Here is a 20,534-nt window from a genome sequence, read left to right as displayed (position 1 = left end):
TCATTCTCCATGTTCTTTTTCCTTCAGTGCCTGGGTTGCCGTTGACCAACTTTCTCTGCCTTTTTCTTATGGTCAATAGGGTATTCAATGGCTTCTTTATAATTTTTTTTTCTTTTCTTTTTTTTTTTCTTTGGCCTTTTGAGACAAGAAATTATTTCTTTATATTTTCTCTAAATTTTGTTGGAAAACTGAACTTCCTTCTTTAGATCATGTCCCTCTCCTGTCATGTTTATTCAGTGACAGTTAGGGGAGGCTGATAGCACTTTCCATGTTCTTCCCAGATGTCTCCTTAGGCAGATCCCTGAGATGGTGCAGTGCCCTTTCAGTTTCCATGTTGTGGCCATAGTTTTCTCACAGTCCCTCAGCACATAACTCTCAGGCCTTTTCCCCAGTTTCCAATGACATTTTCTCACCGTCTTTCAGGCCCTGACCAAGAGTCTTGATGCCCTTCCAGGTTGCATGAATGGTCTCCTTGAGGCCCAGTTACAGGTCAGCCTCACAGTCGTGGCACATATTGTAGCTTCTGATTACCACAGCGGCTCATTTCCAGCTACAATATTCTGTTCCAGTTATCTATTCTGAAGAAACCATCCCCAAAACTTGGCAGCTTAAAACAACTCATTATTACTTGTTTTTTGGCTTAGAGAGTCTTGGTGACCAGCTCATCTCACACACAGTTGCAGCCAAGCTGGATTGTGTGAAAGCACAGCGGGGTGGTGTGCAGGGTGGCTCACTAGTGGTTGGGAGTGGATGTTGCTGAAGGCTCACTAGTGGTTGGGAGTCGGTGTTGCTAGAGGGTCAATGGGGGATGTCAATGCATGTAGCTAGTCATGGACTGGCCGTGTGGTTTCCATCATGGGGTCTCAGGGGAGTGGGATTTCCTGCCTGGTGACTGGCTTTCTCCTGGATAAGTGTTCTGTTTTCTCAGCCTGGCTTCTGAAGTCCCCAAATACCACCTTTGTCACCTTCTGTTGGCCAAGCAAGTCAGTAGTCTGGGCAAGGTTTAAGGGGAATTGGTTCTCACAGAGAGAGGAGCAGGAAAGAAGTTGTCACCTTTAGTCTACCAGAAATATGATTTTTATAACAAGTTTGTTCCAAATACATTCCAGTTCCCCTTGTGAATACTTTTTTGACTTACAGGGTATTTCAAAGTTTATTACTTGGTTTTCAGACATTTGAGGCTTTTCTGGATATCAATTTGTTGTTGGTTTCTAATTTAATTTCAGGTGTTCAGACAACATACTTTGTATACTATTTCATGCTTGAACATTTTCTCAATTGATCGACAGTCTATCTTGGTACTGCCAAGTACCATTTGGGTCAGGATTTTGTCATTTAGATCCGTATTTTTCCTATATTTTTATCTGGTTGTTCCATCAGTTACTGAGAGAGCAGTATTAATTCACCAGTTATAATTTTGGATTGTCAATTTCCTGCTTTTGTTCTGTTGTTTTTGATTCACATAATTTGAGGCTCTGTGTGTGTGTGTACTTTGTTTGCACTTTGAGGCACAATTTATAATTGTAACATCATCCTCTCTGATTCTTTTATTTTTATGAAATTACCTTGTTTATTTCTGGTGATATATTTTTTTCTGGAGCCTCTTTCATCTAGTGTTAACATCTCCATTGAAGCTTTTTATGATTAGTGTCTGGATAGCATATTTTTATGATTAGTGTCTGCATAGCATATTTTTTCTCATACTTTGTGTCTTTGTATTTAAATTGTGTCTCTGTGGATGCCATATTGTTGGGTCTTGCTTTCCTCTCAGGTCTGGCAGTCTCTGTCTTAAGTAGAGTATTTGTCCAGTTACATTGTAACTAATCATTGCTAAGGTTGGATTTAGGTCTGCCATTTTTCTACTTATTTTCTATTTGTTTGTTTTTTTTTTAAGACAGGGTCTTGCTCTGTCACCCAGACTGTAGTGCAATGGTGCAATGTTGGCTTACTTCAACCTCTGCTTCCCAGGCCCAACCAATCCTCACTGGAGCCCACTGAGTAGCTGGGACTACAGGCGCATGGAAACACACCTGGCTAATTTTTATATTTTTTGTAGAGATAGGGTTTTGCCATGTTGCACAGGCTGGTCTTGAACTCCTGAGCTCAAGCAATCTACCCACCTTGGCCTCCCAAAGTGTTCGGATTACAGGCATGAGCAACCATGTCTGGCCTTCGTCTGTGTTTTGATCTTCTATATATTCTTTCCTAACTTCTTTTGGGTTAAATATTTCTAAATATTCCAGTTTGATTAATATTTTGGCTTTTTGAAATATTTTTTTATAGGCTGGGCATGGTGGCTTATGCTCATAATCTCAGCTCTGTGGGAGGCCAAGGGAGGTGGATTGCTTGAGCCCAGGAGGTTGAGACCAGCCTGGGCATCATGGCAAAACCCTCTCTACAAAAAAACCAAACCAAAATTTAGCCTGACATCTTGGTGTGCACCTGTAGTCCCAACTATTTGGGAGGCTGAGGTGGGAGTGTTGCTTGAGCCTGGGAGGTTGAGGCTGCAATGAGCTGTGATCATGCCATTGCACTCCTGCCAGGGCAACAGAGTAAGACCTTGTGTCAAAAAAGATCATTTTTTATAAATAATTTATTATTTAGAATTTTGGTAACAAACACATACCTTAAAATTTACCGTCGTAACTAGTTGTAAGTATACAGTTTTGTAGAGTTAAGAATATTTACGGTGTTGTGTAGCAGATTTCTAGATTTTTTTTTTATCTTGGAAATCTCTATACCCATTCAACAACTATTAATTTCCCCCTCCTTCCACCTCCTGGCAAGTACTATTCTACTTTGTGTTTCTAAAAATTTGGCTTATATACCTAGGGTTATATAATATTTGTTGTTTTGTAAGTAGGTTCCATGTTATGTGTCAGATGTGTCACGATTTTCTTCCTTTTTATGGCTGAATAATATTTCTTCATATATATATTATATATATATTACATATATATTATATACATACATTATATATATTATATATATTATATATTATATATATATATAATATATATCATATATATATATGCTTTTGTTTATCCACCTATTCCTGGACGGACGTTTTTGTTTCTTCCACCTTGTGGCTGTGTAATGCTGCTGTGAACTTAGGTGTGCACATATCTGTTTGAGGTCCTGCTACTAGTTATTCTGTCTCTGTAGTAGTTGGATGGCTGGATCATATGGTCATTTTATTTTATTTTTTTTTGAGGAGCCAGTTCATATTTCCACCAACAGTGTTCAAGGGTTTCAGTTTCACCTGCGCTTGTTACTTTCTATTGGGTTTGAAGTGATGTCCCATTGTGGTTTCTTTTTGCATTTCTCTAATGACTAGTGATGTTACACATCTTCTCATATATCTCATGTATCTGTTGGCTATTTGTATATCATCTTTGCATCTTTGGATAAATGTTGTTTGTCCATTTTTTAATCACTTTATTTTGTTGTTGGGTTGTAGCGGGGTTTTTTGTCATGATCATTCATTTATCTCACAGTTCATTCTCATTACTTGGGCCAGGGTCATGATCATTCATTATCTCTCAGTTCATCCTCATTACGTTGGGCAAACAGTCATGCTGCAGGGTATAGATTATGTTATTCTGTTACTTTCAGGTAGAATTGGGGTCTAGGTTCTAATTGTTTCTAAGTTTAGATTCTGAATGAGAATCAGCAGAGGTAGACTACCGCTGCTGGGGCCTGGGGATTGCTGGGAAAAAGGCAGGAAACAAATACAGACCTGACCATGGAGGGTTTGTGTTTCATGGCTCCCATCTGGGTACCCAAGGAACCTACATGTAGGTCGTGTGTGGAGAGCCTACATTGCCCACTCAAAGCAATTGAGGATGGAACAGTCTTGGGGCTGGAGCTCATTATTTGGAATGATAACCACATCTGCACAGAGAGGACCTGATAAGATGTTGTCCTTCCATGTATATCTGGGAATCCTGTGTAGGGTCTCTCTGTAAGGACAGGGGCAGTGTCGGCTCCTTGGACTCTAGTTAGCCTCACGAGTAGTCTAGTAAAGGCTTTGCCAACTTGTCACCATCTGTGGACATTCTGGCCAACTCTTGTTTTCACCCTACTGACTTCTTCAGACACTAGGCTTTTGCTTTAGACCATTCATGATTTTTCTTCCTCTTCAAATCAGTAATCAATAAATCCTCTTCAAATCAATAAATTTCCACTCCTTTAGGAAACTCTGATCTTCTGGTCATGCCAAGGTTTAATTAACTGGTTTAATTGTTTTTCTGTTTTCTTCGTTTCTTTTTCCTTCTTCCTTGGGGTTTCTAGTAATTTTAGTTTGATGTCTCACTTTCTCCATTTTTTTATTTCTTAGTTTTCTTCTGTGATTATTTTCACTGCAGCTGTAGGGCCTAATCCTGGGTTGGCAGAGAACTAGCACTTACTCTGCCCTAATTGGAATCCGGGAGAGATAGGAGGTGCCCTAGTGTGAAAATGTGTCTGCTCCTCTCTGCTTCTGGTAGTCTCTCCGTAGGAGTACTTTACGTATTCTGAATGTTCACTTCTTATGAGATACATGATGTGCAACTATAGGTTGAATGTCTCTGATCCAAACATCTGAAATCCCAAATGCTCCAAAGTCTGAAACTTTTTGAGTGCCAACATGACACTCAAAGGAAATGCTTATTGGAGCATCGCAGACTCAGGTGTTTGAATTCGAGATGCTCAACCAGTAAGAATAATGCAAATATTACAAAATCTGAAACACATCCCAAGCATTTCAAATAAGGGACACTCAACTGGTATTTTCTTTTATTCTACAGTTTGCCTTTTACCCTGTTGGTTGTGACCTTTGTGGTACAGAAGTTTTTAGGTTTGATATATTTTTGCTTTTACTGCCTGAGCTTTTAATGTCATATCCTAAAAATTATTGACAAATTCATCATCATAAAGCATTTTCCAAATTTGTTTTCCCTAGGAGTTTGATAGTTCTAGTTTTACATTTAGGTTTATAATTCACTTTGAATTAATTTTAACGTGGTGTAAGGTAAGAGTCCAACTTCATTGTTTTGCATGTAGATATACAATTTTCCCAACACCATTTGTTGAAGAAACTGTCCTTCGCCATTGAGTGGTCTTGGCATCCTTGTGGAAGATCATCAGACCATATATGCCAGGGTTGGTTTCTGAGGTCTCTGTTGTGTTGGTCCATAAGTGTGTCAAGTATGTCTTTACGCCATGACCACATTTTTTTTTGGCTTATTGCAGTTTTGTAATTGTTTTGAGACCTTTAATTTTGTTCTGCTTCAAGATTGATTTGCCTATTCATGGGCCCTGGAGATTCCATATGAATTTTAGGATAGGATTTTCTGTTTATCAAAAATGTCATTGGAATCTTTATAAGGATTGTATTGAATCTAGGTCACTTCGAGTAGTGTTGACATCATTCCAAGATGAAATCATCTAATCTGCAAACCCAGCTTTTCTTTTCATTTATTTGTGTTTAATTTCTTTCAACAGTGTTTTGTAGTTTTCTGTGTTCAAATCTTTTGCCCTTTTGGTTAAGCTTATTTTTAATTTTTATAATGCTGTTGTAAATGTAATACTTTTTTTTTTTTTTTTTGAGATGGAGTCTTGCTCTGTCTCCCAGGCTGGAGTGCAGTGGCACTATCTCAGCTCACTGCAACCGGCGCCTTCTTTATTCAAGCGATTCTCCAACCTCAGCCTCTCAAGTACCTGGGATCACAGGTGCGCGCCAGCACGCCCAGTTAATTTTTTGGTATTTTTAGTAGAGACAGGGTTTCTCCATGTTGACCAGGCAAGTCTTGAACTTGTGACCTCAGGTGATCTGCCTGCCTCGGCCTCCTAAACTGCTGGGATTGCAGGCATGAGCCACTGCACCCAGCCAAATGTCATTCTTTTTAAAAATTTCTTTTCTGTTGTTTTATCTTTCTTTTCTTTTCTTTCTCTCTCTTTCTTTCCTTTCTTTCTTTTCTTTGAGATGGCGTCTCACTCAGTTTCCTAAGCTGGAGCGCAGTGGCACAATCTCAGCTGACTGCAACTTCCACCTTCCAAGTTCAAGCAATTCTCCTGCCTCAGCCTCCCAAGTAGCTGGGACTACAGTTGTCTGCCACTACGCCCAGCGAATTTTTGTATTTTTAATAGAGACAGAGTTTTACTATTTATTTTAGAGATGGGTTTGGCCCAGCTGGTCACGAACTCCTGACCTCAGGTGGTCTACCCGCCTTGGCCTCCCAAAGTGCTGGGATTATAAGTGTGAGCCACTGCACCTGGCCTCTCTTTTTAAAATTTTATTTGCAGATTGTTCATTGTTAGTTTATGGAAATGCAACTGACTTGTGTGTGTTACTGTATCCTGAAACTTTGTTGAATTTCATTATTTTACCAGTATTTTGGGAATTTCAGGATTTTTACCCATTACATCCTGTTGTCTGTGAACAAAATTTTGTACTTTTTCCTTTCCAATTTGCATCCTTTTTATTACTTTCTCTTGACTAATTATTCTGAGTAGAAATTCCAGTACTGTGATGAATAGAAGTGGCAGGAAGAGATGTTGCTATCTTATTCCTGATCCTAGAGGAAAAGATTTTAGTCTTTCACCATTGAGTATGATGTTAGCTGTGAGCTTTTCATGTATAATCTTTATTTACCGAGGAGTTTCCATATATTACTAATTCTTTGAGTGTTTTTATTACAAAAGGTGTTCATCTGGCTCTGGAACCAGATAAACGTTGACCTGATAAATGGATTGGAATGTCCCCTTCTGGTTTTTGAACATTTTTGGAATATTTTGCAGAGGATTGGCATTAATTCTTCTTGAAATATTTGGTAAAATTTTCCAGTGAAGTTATCTGGACCTGGAATTTTCTTTTTGGTGGGGTTTTTGATTACTGGTTGAATCTTCTTACTAGTTACAGGTCTCTTTGGATTTTTTATTTCTCCATGATGCAGTATGGTGGTTTGTGTTTCTAGGAATTTATAAATTTATTCTAGGTTGCCCAGTTTTGTGGCATATGGTTGCTCACATTAGTCTCTTGTAATCTTTTTCATTTCTGTGGAATCTGTTGTACTGTCACCTCTTTTATTTATGATTTTAGTATTTGAGATTTCTCTTTTTTCTTAATATAGCTGTGAGTTTTAAAATTTTTATTGATCTTTAAAAAAACAAACTCTGTTTTTTTCCTTTTTTCTGGTCTTATTCTGCTTATCTCTGCTCTAATCTGTTATTTTCTTCCTTTTGCTTGGTTTGTCATTAGTTTTTTTTTCCCCCCTTCAGGTGTAATGTTAGGTTATTGATTTGAGATCTTTCTTCTTTTTAATTTAAGCACCTGCAGCTATAAGCTTCCCTTTAGCAAGGGTTTCAGATCTTTCTTCTTTTTAATTTAAGCATCTGCAGCTGTAAGCTTCCCTTTAGCATGGGTTTGAGATCTTTCTTCTTTTTAATTTAAGGATCTGTAGCTGTAAGCTTCCCTTTAGCATGGGTTTGAGATCTTCTTTTTAATTTAAGCATCTGGAGCTGTAAGCTTCCCTTTAGCACTGCCTTTGTTGCCTCCTCCTGAGTTTGGGTATGTCATGGTTTCGTTTTCATTTGCTTAAACATTTTTTGTCCTATTGTAATATAATTGTGTTGTTTTTAATAAAGGTAATTAATGAAACACATAATGAATTGTGCTTCTGTTTTTATAACATTTTAAGCATTCTTAACTCAGAAATGTAAATTTTAGAAAAAAATTCCAGGCCAGGCACAGTGGCTCACACCTGTAATCCCAGCACTTGAGGAGGCCGAGGCGGGAGGATCATCTGAGGTCAGGAGTTGGAGACCACCCTGGCCAACATGGTGAAACCCTGTCTTTACTAAAAATAGAAAAAATATATATATAAAAGTTAGCTGGGTGTCATGGCGGGTGCCTGTAATCCCAGCTACTCTGGAGGCTGAGGCAGGAGAATCACTTGAATCTGGGAGGCGGAGGTTGCAGTGAGCTGAGATTGCACCACTGCACTCCAGCCTGGGTGACAGAATGAGAGTCTGTCTCAAAAAAAAAGAAAAAAGTAAAAATTTCAGACATATTTATTTGTATTTCAATTTAGAAACTATGATCTCCTAAGTGTATTGACACAGCAACCTGACATAAATATAAAGAATAATAAGCATATAACAAAACGGAAACTTGCAAATACCTGTTTTTTATTAAATTTTAATTATATATATTTAAAAATTGCCAGGTGCAGTGGCTTACACCTGTAATCCCAGCACTTTGGGAGGCTGAGGTGGGCAGATCACATGAGGTCAGGAGTTTGAGACCAGCCTGGCCAACATGGTGAAACCTCATCTCTATTAAAAATCAAAAAATTAGCCAGGCGTGATAGCATGCATCTGTAGTCCCAGCTACTCGGGAGACTGAGGCAGGAGAATTGCTTGAACATAGGAGGCAGAGGTTGCAGTGAGCCAAGATAGTGCCACTGCACTTCAGCCTGGGTGACAGAGTGAGGCTCTGTCTCAAAAAAAATAAAAATTGTCTGGGCGCGGTGGCTCACACCTGTAATCGCAGCACTTTGGGAAGCTGAGGCAGGCAGATCACGTCAGGAGATCGAGACCATCCGGGCTAACACTGTGAAACGCCATCTCTACTAAAAATACAAAAAATTAGCCGGGCGTGGTGGCGGGTGCCTGTAGTTCCAGCTACTCCGGAGGTTGAGGCAGGAGAATGGTGTGAACCTGGGAGGTGGAGCTTGCAGTGAGCCAAGATTGCACCACTGGACTCCAGCCTGGGTGACAGAGTGAGACTCTGTCCCAAAAAAATAAAACAAAATAAAACTAAGGTGTGGTTGACATACAAAAATTACACATATTTAATATATACCTTGTGTGTGTGTGTGTGTGTGTGTGTGTGTGTGTGTTATGGAGGTTTTACTCTTGTTGCCCAGTCTGGAGTGCAGTGACATGATCTCAGCTAACTGCAACCTCTGCATCCCAGGTTCAAGCAATTCTCCTGCCTCAGCCTCCTGAGTAGCTGGGATCACAGGCGTGCACCCCCACGCCCGGCTAATTTTTGTATTTTTTTAGTAGAGACAGGGTTTCACCATGTTGGCCAGGCTGGTCTCGAACGCCTGACCTCAGATCATCCACCTGCCTCGGCCTCCCAAAGTGCTGGGATTACAGGCATGTGACACCGAATATATACATCTTAATGAGTATAGAGATAAATATTCGCCCCAGGACTCATCACAACAAATAATACCGTAAACTTGACCATCACCCCCCATATATTTCTCATTCTCACCCTTTTTAAAAAATGAGACCGGGAGTGGTGGCTCACGCCTGTAATCCTAGCAATTTGGGAGGCCAAGGCAGGTGGATCACGAGGTCAGGAGATCAAGACCATCCTGGCTAACACAGTGAAACCCCGTTTCTACTAAAAATACAGAAAATTAGCCAGGTGTGATGGCGGACACCTGTAGTCCCAGCTACTCGGGAGACTGAGGCAGGATAATGGTGTGAACTCGGGAGGCAGAGCTTGCAGTGAGCCGAGATCGTGCCACTGCACTCCAGCCTGGGCAACAGAGTGTGACTCCGTCTCAAAAAAAAAATGAGATGACCATTTCACCTAAAATATACCCTCTTAAGTATTTTTTTAAGTGTACAATACAGGACGGCCGTGCATCAGAGATATATGTGGGTTTGGTTCCAGACCACTGCAATAAAGTGTTATACAATTTCTTTTTGTTTCCCAGTGCATGTAAAAGTATGTTTATACTGTGCTGTATAAAGTGTGCAATAGCATATGTCTACAAAGTATGCACACTTTAATTTACAAATACTTTATTGTTAACAAGTGCTAACAGTCATCTGAGCCTTCAGAAAGCTGCAATCTTTTTTTGTGTGTGTGACAGGGTTTTACTCTGTGGCTCAGGCTGGAGTAATTGCAGCCTCAACCTCATGCTCAATCAAACCCCCACCTCAGACTCCTGACTAGCTGGGACTACAGGTACATGCCACCATGTCCAGCTAATTTTTGTATTTTTTTTTTTGTTGTAGAGATGGGGTTTTGCCACGTTGCCTTGACGTCCTGGGCTCAAGCAATCCACCCACCTTGGCCTCCCAAGGTGTTGGGATGACAGGTGTGAGCCACTGCACCTGGCCAAGTTTCAGTCTTCTTGCTGATGGAGGGTCTTATGTTAATGTAAGGTGGTGGTTGCTGAGCGTTGGGGTGGCTGTGGCAATTTCTTAAAATAAGACAACGTTGAAGTTTGCTGTGTCAATTGACTCTCCCTTTCACAAAAGAATTAACTGTAGCATACGATGATAGCTTTTTACCCACAGTAGAACTTTCAAAATTGGATGCAATGCTGTCAAACCTTCGTACGGCTGTACCAACTAAGTTTATGTATTATTGTAAATCATTGGGTTCAATCCTGTCAAGCCTTCCTTCTGCTGTACCAAGTTTATTGTAAATCTGTTGTCATCTCAACATTGTTTACACTGTCTTCACCACGAGTAGATTTCATCTCAAGAAACCACTCTCTTTGCTCATCCGTGGGAGCAACTCATCCTCTCACTTTTTCTCCAGAGGCTGCTGCAGTCTCGCCAGATCTTCAGGCTCTTTCTCTGATTCTAGTGCTCTTGTTATTTCCACCATATCTGCAGTTACTTCCTCCACAGAAGTCGTGAACCCCTGTGTCATCTGTGAGGTTTGGAATAATCTTCCCAACTTCTCTCTCTTTTTTTTTTTTTTTTTGAGATGAAGTCTTGCCTGGGCTGGAGTGCAGTGATGCGATCTCAGCTCACTGCAACCTCCACTTCCCCTGTTCAAGCAATTCTCCTGCCTCAGCCTCCCAAGTGTTTGGGATTACAGTCACCCCCGACCAGGCCCAGCTAATTTTTTTTGTGTTTTTAGCACAGACAGGATTTCACTATGTTGGCCAGGCTGGTCTCAAATTCCTGACCTCGTGATCCACGTGCCTTGGCCTCCCAAAGTGCTGGGATTACAGGCGTGAGCCACCAAGCCCGGCCCCAACTTCTCCTAATGTTGCTATTTTGATCTTTTTTAAATCATGAATGTTCTCAATGACATCTAGAATGGTGAATCCTTTCCAGTAGGTTTTCAATTATTTTGCCCAGATCCATCAAAGGAATCACTTTCTAAAGAAGCTATAGCTTTATGAATATATTTTTAAGTGATAAGACTTGAAAGTTGAAATTATTCTTTGATCCAAGGGCACCAGAATGAATGTTGGGTTAGTAGGCATGAAAACAATATTCAGGTCTTTATACATCTCTGTAAAAGCCCTTGAGTACCAGCGGCATTGTCATTGAGCGGTAATACTTTGAAAGGAATCTTATTTCTTGAGCAGTAGTTGTCGACAGTGGGCTTAAGATATTCAGTAAACCGTATTTGTAAACCGATAGTCTGTCATCCAGGCTTTGTTCCCATTTGTAGAGTACAGGCAGAGCTGTGTTTTATCATAATTCTTCAGGGCCCTTGGATTTTCAGAATAGTAAATCATCATTGGTTTCAAGTTAACATCACCAATTGCATTAGGCCTTAACAAAAGAGTCAGCATGTCCTTTGAAGCCTTAAAGCCAGGCATCAACTCCTCTCTAGCTGGGAACATCCTGGATGGCATCTCCTTCTAGTAGAAGTCTGTTTTGTCTCCATTGCAAATCTGTTTAGTGTAGCCATCTTAATCAATTATCTTCTAGATAGCTTTCTGCAGTTTTTCCATCAGTACTTGCTGCTTTATCTTGCGCTTTTATGTTATGGAGATGACTTTTTTCCTTAAACCTCAAGAAACAAGCTCTTCTAGCTTCAGACTTTTCTTCTGCAGCTGCCTCACCTCTCTAAGTCTTCATAGAATTGAAGGGAGACCGGGTGCGGTGGCTGTCACACCTGTAATCCTAGCACTTTGGGAGGCAGAGGCGGGCAGATCACCTGAGGTCGGGAGTTCGACACCAGTCTGACCAACGTGGAGAAACCCCGTCTCTACTAAAAATACAAAAAATTAGCCAGGCGTGGTGGTGCATGCCTGTAATCCCAGCTACTCGGGATGCTGAGGCAGGAGAATGGCTTGAACTTGGGAGGCAGAGGTTGTGATGAGCCAAGATCACGCCATTGTACTCCAGCTTGGGCAAGAAGAATGAAACTCTGTCTCAAAAACAAAGAAAAAAAGTAAAAAGAGAGTTAGGCTTAGGCTTAATGGAATTTTTTTTGTTTTTTTTTATCTTCTATCTAGACCAATTAAACTTTCTTCATAAGAGCAGCAAGATTGTTTAGCTTTTTATCATTCATGTATTCACTAGAGTAGTACTTTAAATTTCTTTCCAGAACACTTCCTTTGCATTCACAACTTGGCTAAGTGTTTGTTGCATGAGGTCTAGCTACTGGCCTGTCTTGCTTACAGCATGCCTTCATCACTAAGCTTAATTATTTCTTCCTTTTGGTTTAAAGTGACAGACATGCAACTCTTCTTTCACTTGAACATATAGAGGCTATTTTAGGGTTATTAATTGGCCACATTTTAATATTAATAAAAAGAAGCCTGAGAAAAAGAGAGAGAAAGAGAAATGGCCCATTGGTGGGGCAGTCAGAACAAATGCATTTGTCAATTGTTTGCTGTCTTATCCTGGTGTGATTTGTGGTTCCCAAAACAATGACAACAGTAGCATTAAAGATCACTGATTACAGATCACTATAACCGATTCAATAATAAAAAGCTTAAAATACTGTGAGAATGACCGAAATGTGACACGGAGACGTGAAGTGAGCACGTGCTGTAGGAACAATGGTGCCAGTGAGACCTGCTTATTGCAGGGTGGCCACAAACCTTCAATATGTAAAACACATGGTCACAAAACACAATAAAGCAAAGTGCAGTGAAACAAGATGTGTCTGTCTTTTGATAGACTCTGACAATCTTTATCTTTGAATTGGTACATTCATACCATTAACATTCAAAGTGATTATTGATATCATTGGATTAATATCTACTATATTTGTTACTGTTTTCTATTCATTCTCCTCAGTCTCCATTCTTTTGTCTACCACTCTTTTTCTGCCTTTTGCAGTTTTCATTGATGATTTTAGATGACTACATTTTCCCTGTCTTTCTTAGCATGTACTTCTCTTTTTAAAACTTTTTTTTTAACTAGTTGCCACAGAATTTGCAATATACATTTACAACCAATTCAAGTCCACTTTCAAATAACACTATCCCACTATCCCACAAATAAGACTACCTGCTTAACAAACAAAACACCTAATTCCTCAGTAACATTTACAACAAATTGAAGTCCACTTTCAAATAACGCTATCCCACTATCCCACAAATAAGACTACCTGCTTAACAAAGAACACACCTAATTCCTCAATATACATTTACAACCAATTCAAGTCCACTTTCAGATAACACTATCCCACTTCACGGGTGACTACCTGCTTAACAAAGAAAACACCTGATTCCTCTCTCCCATCCTTCCATTCCATTCCTTGTATTATTGTTCCTTATTTCACTTGTGTATAAGCATACATAATCTATCTGTGTGTATTTATTATTATCTACAAACTTATTGGTCAGATCAATTATGAATAAATACATGTTTTTATTGTACCACAATTCCTCCCTCCCATCCTTCCATTCCATTCCTTGTATTAGTGTTACTCATTTAACTTGTGTATAAGCATACATAATCTATCTGTGTGTATTTGTTATTGTCTATGAACTTCTTGGTCAGATCAATTAAGAATAAATACATAGGTTTTTATTGTACCACAATTCTTTAATGCTCTTTTTTAAAAAATGTTGATCCAGGTTTCAGTTATATATCTTTTGTTTCCCTCTAAAGAATTTCATTTAACATTTCTTGCAAGACAGGTCTCCTGGCAATAAGTTTCTTGAATTTTTATTTTTCTGAGGAAGGCCTTAATTCTCCTTCACTTTTGAAGGGTGTTTTCAGTGGGTACAGAAACTTAGGTTGGTGGGTTTTTTCTGTCAACATTTTGAATTTTTCATTTCACTGTCTTCTTGCTTTCACAGTTTCTGCATTGTTGAATGCAGTTCTTATCTTTGTGTCTCCGTAGGTAAGGTGTTTTCTGCCCCACCTCTGGTTTCTTTTTTTTTTTTTTTTTTTTTTTTTTTGAGACGGAGTCTCGCTCTGTCGCCCAGGCCGGACTGCGGACTGCAGTGGCGCAATCTCGGCTCACTGCAAGCTCCACTTCCTGGGTTCACGCCATTCTCCTGCCTCAGCCTCCCGAGTAGCTGGGACTACAGGCGCCCGCCACCGCGCCCGGCTAATTTTTTGTATTTTTAGTAGAGACGGGGTTTCACCTTGTTAGCCAGGATGGTCTCGATCTCCTGACCTCATGATCCACCCGCCTCGGCCTCCCAAAGTGCTGGGATCACCTCTGGTTTCTTTCAGAGTTTTCCTTTATCTTTTATTTCATATAGTTTGAAAATTATATGTCCAAGTGTAGGTTGTTGGCATTTATTCTGCCTGGTGTTCTCTGAGCTTCCTGGATCTTTGGTTTGGTGTCTGACATTAATACTGGAAGTTCTCAGACATGGTTGTTGCAGAACTTTCTTCTATTTCTTCTCCTCCTGGTATTCTCATTACTCTGTTTCACCTTTTGTAGTTGTCCCACAGTCTTGGATATCATCTTCTGTTCTTTTCAGTGTTTCTTTTCTTTAGTTTTCAAAGTTTCTGATGATAAATCCTCAAGCTCAGAGATTCTTTACTCAGCTGAGTCCAGTCTACTAATAAGCCATCAGAGGTATTCTTCAGTTATTTACCACATTTTTTACCACTACATTATGTTGAAGTTTCTTGCGATGTCTGTCTTTCTGATTACATTACCCATCTACACTTGAATGCTGTCTACTTCATTCATTAGGCCCTTAGCATATTCTCCAGAGGTTTAAAAAAAATTCCAAAATCATATCTTTGTCTGCTTCTGAAGCTTGCTCTGTTGACACAAATTGTATTTTTTTCTTTTTTTGGATTTTAGTATGCCTTGCAATTTTTTCCCTTTATTCTCATGCATGAAGCACCCACTAAAGGTGACTGCTGTTAGTATAGCTTTAGTAATGCGGTGATGAGGTGACAGGGCAGGTGATGCTCTCTTAGTCTCTTTAGGCTACTATAACAAAATACTTTAGACTGAGTAATTCATAAACAACAGAGATTATTGCTCACAGATCTGGAGGCTGGAAAGTCCAAGACTAAAGGGGCAGGATATTTAGTGTTTGGTGAAGGTCAAGCATTCAGACACTCGCAACGACTATAGTGACAGCAGCAGTCTTCAGGAATCCTATGTGAGGAAAAAACATTCAGACCACAGAAGGAGTGCTCGAGAATCCTATGTGAGGGACAAACATTCAGATCACAGCAGGAGTGTTGTGGAATCCTATGTGAGGGGAAAACTTTCAAACCCTTGTAGCAGTGTTCTGCAATCCTATGTGAGGGGCAAAAATTCAGAACCTCGTAGCAGTGTTCTGGAATCCTATTTGAGGAACAATCAGACCACAGCAGGAATGTTCTGGAATCCTATGTGAGGGGCAAACATTCAGACCACAGCAGGAGTGTTCTGGAATCCTATGTGAGGGACAAACATTCAGACCACAGCAGGAGTGCTCTGTAATCCTATGTGAGGGACAAACATTTCAAAACCTTGTAGCAGTGTGCTGGAATGTTATGTCAGGGACAGACATTTAGACCCTCACAGCAGTGTTCTAGAATCCCATCTGCGGGACAAACATTCAGACACTCGCAGCAGTGTTCTGGAATTCTATGTGAGGGACAGACATTCAAACCCCAACAGCAGTGTTCTAGAATCCTATCTGAGGGACAGACGTTCAGACCCCAGCAGCAGTGTTCTGGAATCCTATGTGAGGTACAAACATTCAGACACCAGCAGAAGTGTTCTGGAATCCTATGTGAGGGAGAAACATTCAGACCCTCGTAGCACTGTTCTGGAATCCTATGTGAGGTACAAACATTCAGACCACGGCAACAATGCTCAGGAATCCTATGTGAGGGAGAAACATTCAGACCCTCGTAGCACTGTTCTGGAATCCTATGTGAGGTACAAACATTCAGACCACGGCAACAATGCTCAGGAATCCTATGTGAGGGACAAACATTCAGACCCTCGTAGCAGTGTTCTGGAATCTTATGTGAGGGACAAACATTCAAACCACAGCAGCAGTGTTCTGGAATCCTACGTGAAGGACAAACTTTCAGACCACAGCAGGAGAGTTCTGGAATCCTATGTGAGGGACAAACTTTCAGACCAAAGCAGGAGTGTTCTTAAATCCTATATGAAGAACAAACATTCAGACCCCAGGAGCACTGTTCTGAAATCCTATGATAAGGGCAAACATTCAGACCCCAACATGAATGTTCTGGAATCCTATGTGAGGGACAAGCATTAAGACCATAGCAGGAATATTCTGGAATCCTATGTGAGGGACAAACATTCAGACCCTTGTAGAAGTGTTCTGGAATCCTATGTGATTAAAAAACATTGAGACCACAGCAGGAGTGCTCTGGAATCCTATGTGAGGGACAAACATTCAGACCCCAGAAGGAGTGTTCTGGAATCCTATGTAAAGGACAAACATTCAGACCCTCGTAGCAGTGTTCTGGAATCCTATGTGAGGGACAAACATTCAGAACCTTGTAGCAGTGTTCTGGAATCCTATGTGAGGGACAAACATTCAGACCCTCCCAGCAGTCTTCTGGGATTCTATGTGAGGGACAGACATTCAAACCCCAGCAGCAGTGTTCTGGAATCCGATGTGAGGGACAGACATTCAGACCCCAGCAGCAGTCTTCTGGAATCCTATGTGAGGGACAAACTTTCAGACACTCATAGCAGTGTTCTGGAATCCTATGTGAGGTACAAACATTCAGACCCTCATAGCAGTGTTCTGGAATACTATGTGAGGGACAACCATTCAGACCATGGCAGTTCTGAAATGTTATGTGAAGGACAAACATTCAGACCCTCGTAGCAGTGTTCTGGAATCCTATGTGAAGGACAGACATTTAGACCCTCGAAGCAGTGTTCTGCAGTCTTAAGTGAGGAACAAAAATTCAGACCCTTGTAACAGTGTTCTGGAATCCTTTTTTGAGGGACAGACATTGAGACCCCAGCAGCAGTGGTCTGGAATCCCATGTGAGGGACAAACATTCACACCCCAGCAACAGTGTTCTGTAATCGTATGTGAGGGACAAGCATTCAGACCCCAGCAGCAGTGTTCTGGAATCTTATGTGAGGGGCAAACATTGAGACCCTCGTAGCAGTGTTCTGGAATCCTACGTGAGACACAAACATTCGTACCACAGCAGAAGTGTTCCGGAATCTTATGTGAGGGACAACCATTCAGACCACAGCAGGAGTGTTCTGGAATCCTATGTGAGGGACAAATATTCAGACCCTCATAGCAGTGTTCTGGAATCCTTTGTGAGGGACAAACATTCAGACCCCAGCAGGAGGGATCTGGAATCCTGTGTGAGGGACCAACATTCAGACCCTCGTAGCAGTGTTCTGGAATGCTATGTGAAAGACAACCATTCAGACTTTCATAGCAATGTTCTGGAATCCTATGTCAGGGACATTCAGACCCCAGCCGCAGTGTTCTGGAATCCTATGTGACAGACAAACATTCAGACCACAGCAGGAGCGTTCTGGAATCCTATGTGACGGACAAACGTTCAGACCATAGCAGTAGTGTTCTGCAATCCAATGTGAGGGACAAACATTCAGAGCCCAGCAGCAGTGTTTAGGAATCCTATGTGAGGGACCAACAATCAGACCCTCGTAGCAGTGTTCTGAAATCCTATGTGAGGGACAAACATTCAGAACCCAGCTGCAGTGTTCTGGAATCCTATGTGACAGAAAAACATTCCGACCACAGCAGCAGTGTTCTGGAATCCTATGTGCGGTACAAACTTTCAGACCACAGCAGGAGAGTTCTGGAATCCTATGTGAGGGACAAACTTTCAGACCCCAGGAGCAGTGTTCTGAAATCCTATGTTAAGGGCAAGCATTTACATCCCAGTGTGAATGTTCTCGAATCCTAGGTAAGGGACAAACATTCAGACCACAGCAGGAGTGTTCTCGAATCCTATGTGAGGAACAAACATTCAGACCACAGAAGGAGTGTTCTGGAATACAATGTGAGGGACATTCAGACCATCTTAGCAGTGTTCTGGAGTCCTATGTGAGGGACAAATATTCAGACCACAGCAGGAGTGTTCTGGAATCCTATGTGAGGGTCATTCAGACCACAGCAGGAGTGTTCTGGAATCCTATGTGAGGGTCAAACATTCAGACCCCAGCAGTAGTGTTCTGGAATCCTATGTGAGGGCAAACATTCAGACCCACGTGGCAGTGTTCTGGAATCCTATGTGAGGGACATACATTCAGACCACGGCAGCAGTGTTCTGGAATGGTATGTGAAGGACAAACATTCAGACCCTTGTAGCAGTGTTCCGGAATTCTATGTGAGGGACAAACATTCAGACCACAGCAGCAGTGTTCTGGAATCCTATATGACGGGCCAACATTCAGACCCTTGCAACAGTGTTCTGGAATACTAGGTGAGGGAGAAATATTCACACCCTTGTAGCAGTGTTCTGGAATTCTATGTGACTGACAAACATTCAGACTCCAGCAGCAGTGTTCTGTAATCCTATGTGAGTGACAAACATTCAGACCCCAAGAGTGTTCTGAAATCCTATGTTAAGGGAAACATTGAGACCCCAGCATGAATGTTCTGGAATCCTATGTGAGGGACAAACATTCAGAACACAGCAGGAGTGTTCTGGAATCCTATATGAGGGATAAGCATTCAGACCCTCGTAGCAGTGTTCTGGAATCCTATGTGAAGGAGAAACATTCAGAGCACAGCAGGAGTGCTCTGAAATCCTATGTTAGGGACAAACATTCAGAACCTCATAACATTGTTCGGGAAACCTATGTGAGGGACAGACATTTAGACCCTCGCAGCAGTGTTCTGGAATCCCATGTGAGGGTCAAACATTCAGATCCTCACAGCAGTGTTCTGGAATTCTATGTGAGTGACAAACTTCCAGACTCCAGCAGCAGTGTTCTGTATTCCTATGTGAAGGACAAACATTCAGAATTCAGGAGCAGTGTTTTGAAATCATATGTTAAGGGCAAACATACAGACCCTAGCATCAATGTTCTAGAATCATATGTGAGGGACAGACATTCAGACCCTCGCAGCAGTGTTCTGGAATCCTAGATGGGGGACAAACATTCAGACCCCAGCAGCAGGCTTCTGGAATCCTATGTGGGGGACAAACATTCAGACAATGGCATCAGTGTTCTGGAATCCTATGTGAGGGACAAACACTCAGAGCCTTGTAGCAGTGTTCTGGAATCCTATGTGAGTGAGAGTGCCTGGAGCCTACCCAACCTGACGCCCCCAAAGCCCTCACAGGGTCTGACCTCCCAGCATGCACCTGCCTCTCCCTGAACCCCAACTGCCCACCCTGCCTGTTCCCTGGCCTCCTTCATCCTGTGCAGCCCATAGACTGTGACCATCTCTGCAGCCACTCTAGCCCTTCCTTTACCTTTGTCCTGTCAGAATCTCTGAGCAGGATCTCCCAGGTCCATCCAAACACGTGCTTTGTCCACTTTTGACTAGGCCCTTGGGCATCACTGGGCTATCCCAGCTGTCCACAGGGCCTTCAATAATGCACATTGCACCTGGCTTATCCAAGCAGTGCTCAGCAGCCCACATTGACCAGGTCCCTGCTGACCAGACCCCACACATCAGGTCCTCCCTGACGACACCCTCACTGATTAGACCCTCATGACCAGGCCCCACTAACAAGGCCCCCACTGCCGGGCACACAATGACAAGGACTCCACCGACCAGGACCTTACTGACAAGGCCTCACGGACCAAGTCCTTACTGACAAGTCCTCACTGACTAGGTCATTATTGACAAGGCCTCACTGATCAGGTTCCACTGATCATGACCTCATTCCCTGGCCCCAAAGATGAGGCCCCACTGACCAGGCCTCCAGGGAACAGGTTGCCACTGATCAGGCCCCTAATAACCAGGCCTAAGGTCACCAGATGCCCCTGACTGGGACCCTAGTGAGTAGACCCCACTGAACTGGCACCAAATGCTGAGATCCCCGCTGACCAGGTCACCCTGTAGACCAGTGCTACAAAAGTCACCACTGACCAAGTCCTCTCTGATTAGGACACTACAGATTAGGTCCCACTGGCAAGGCGGCCCTGACCAGGACCCCACTGACAAGGGCCTCACTGATGAGGACACGCCCACCAGGGTCTGCTGACTAAGTCTCATGTGCCCAGTCCTGCACTGAGTAGCACCCCTTGACCTGGTCACCAGTGCCCCAGCCCATGCTGACCAGACCAGCACTAAGCCCCAGCTGACCAGGTCTCCACTGATCAAGCCCCACAGCCCAGGTTTGCACTGACCAGACACCAAACGACTGGCAGCCAATAGGTCCCCACTCACCAAAACCCCCACTACTAGACCCCACTAATG

General features: G+C 42.0%; 1 pseudogene across 3 annotated transcripts in view, besides 1 other annotated feature; it reads left to right on the top strand.

Annotated features, from left to right (window-relative positions):
• The window catches only part of TEKT4P2 (tektin 4 pseudogene 2), a 61,406-nt pseudogene that overhangs the window by 13,972 nt on the left and 26,900 nt on the right, over window positions 1-20,534 (top strand). The gene's annotated exons all lie outside the window — the stretch shown is intronic.
• Window positions 10,468-10,668: a silencer, noted in NCBI's record as "peak4333 fragment used in MPRA reporter construct". NCBI's record gives its function as "represses an SCP1 promoter by STARR-seq MPRAs in K562 erythroleukemia cells {active_cell/tissue: K562}" and the evidence as "EXISTENCE:reporter gene assay evidence [ECO:0000049][PMID:32103011]".

The sequence above is a fragment of the Homo sapiens genome, chromosome 21 (genome assembly GCF_000001405.40).
Source record: "Homo sapiens chromosome 21, GRCh38.p14 Primary Assembly".
Taxonomy (NCBI): Eukaryota; Metazoa; Chordata; class Mammalia; order Primates; family Hominidae; genus Homo; species Homo sapiens.
This window is presented reverse-complemented; position numbering and strand designations above follow the sequence as displayed.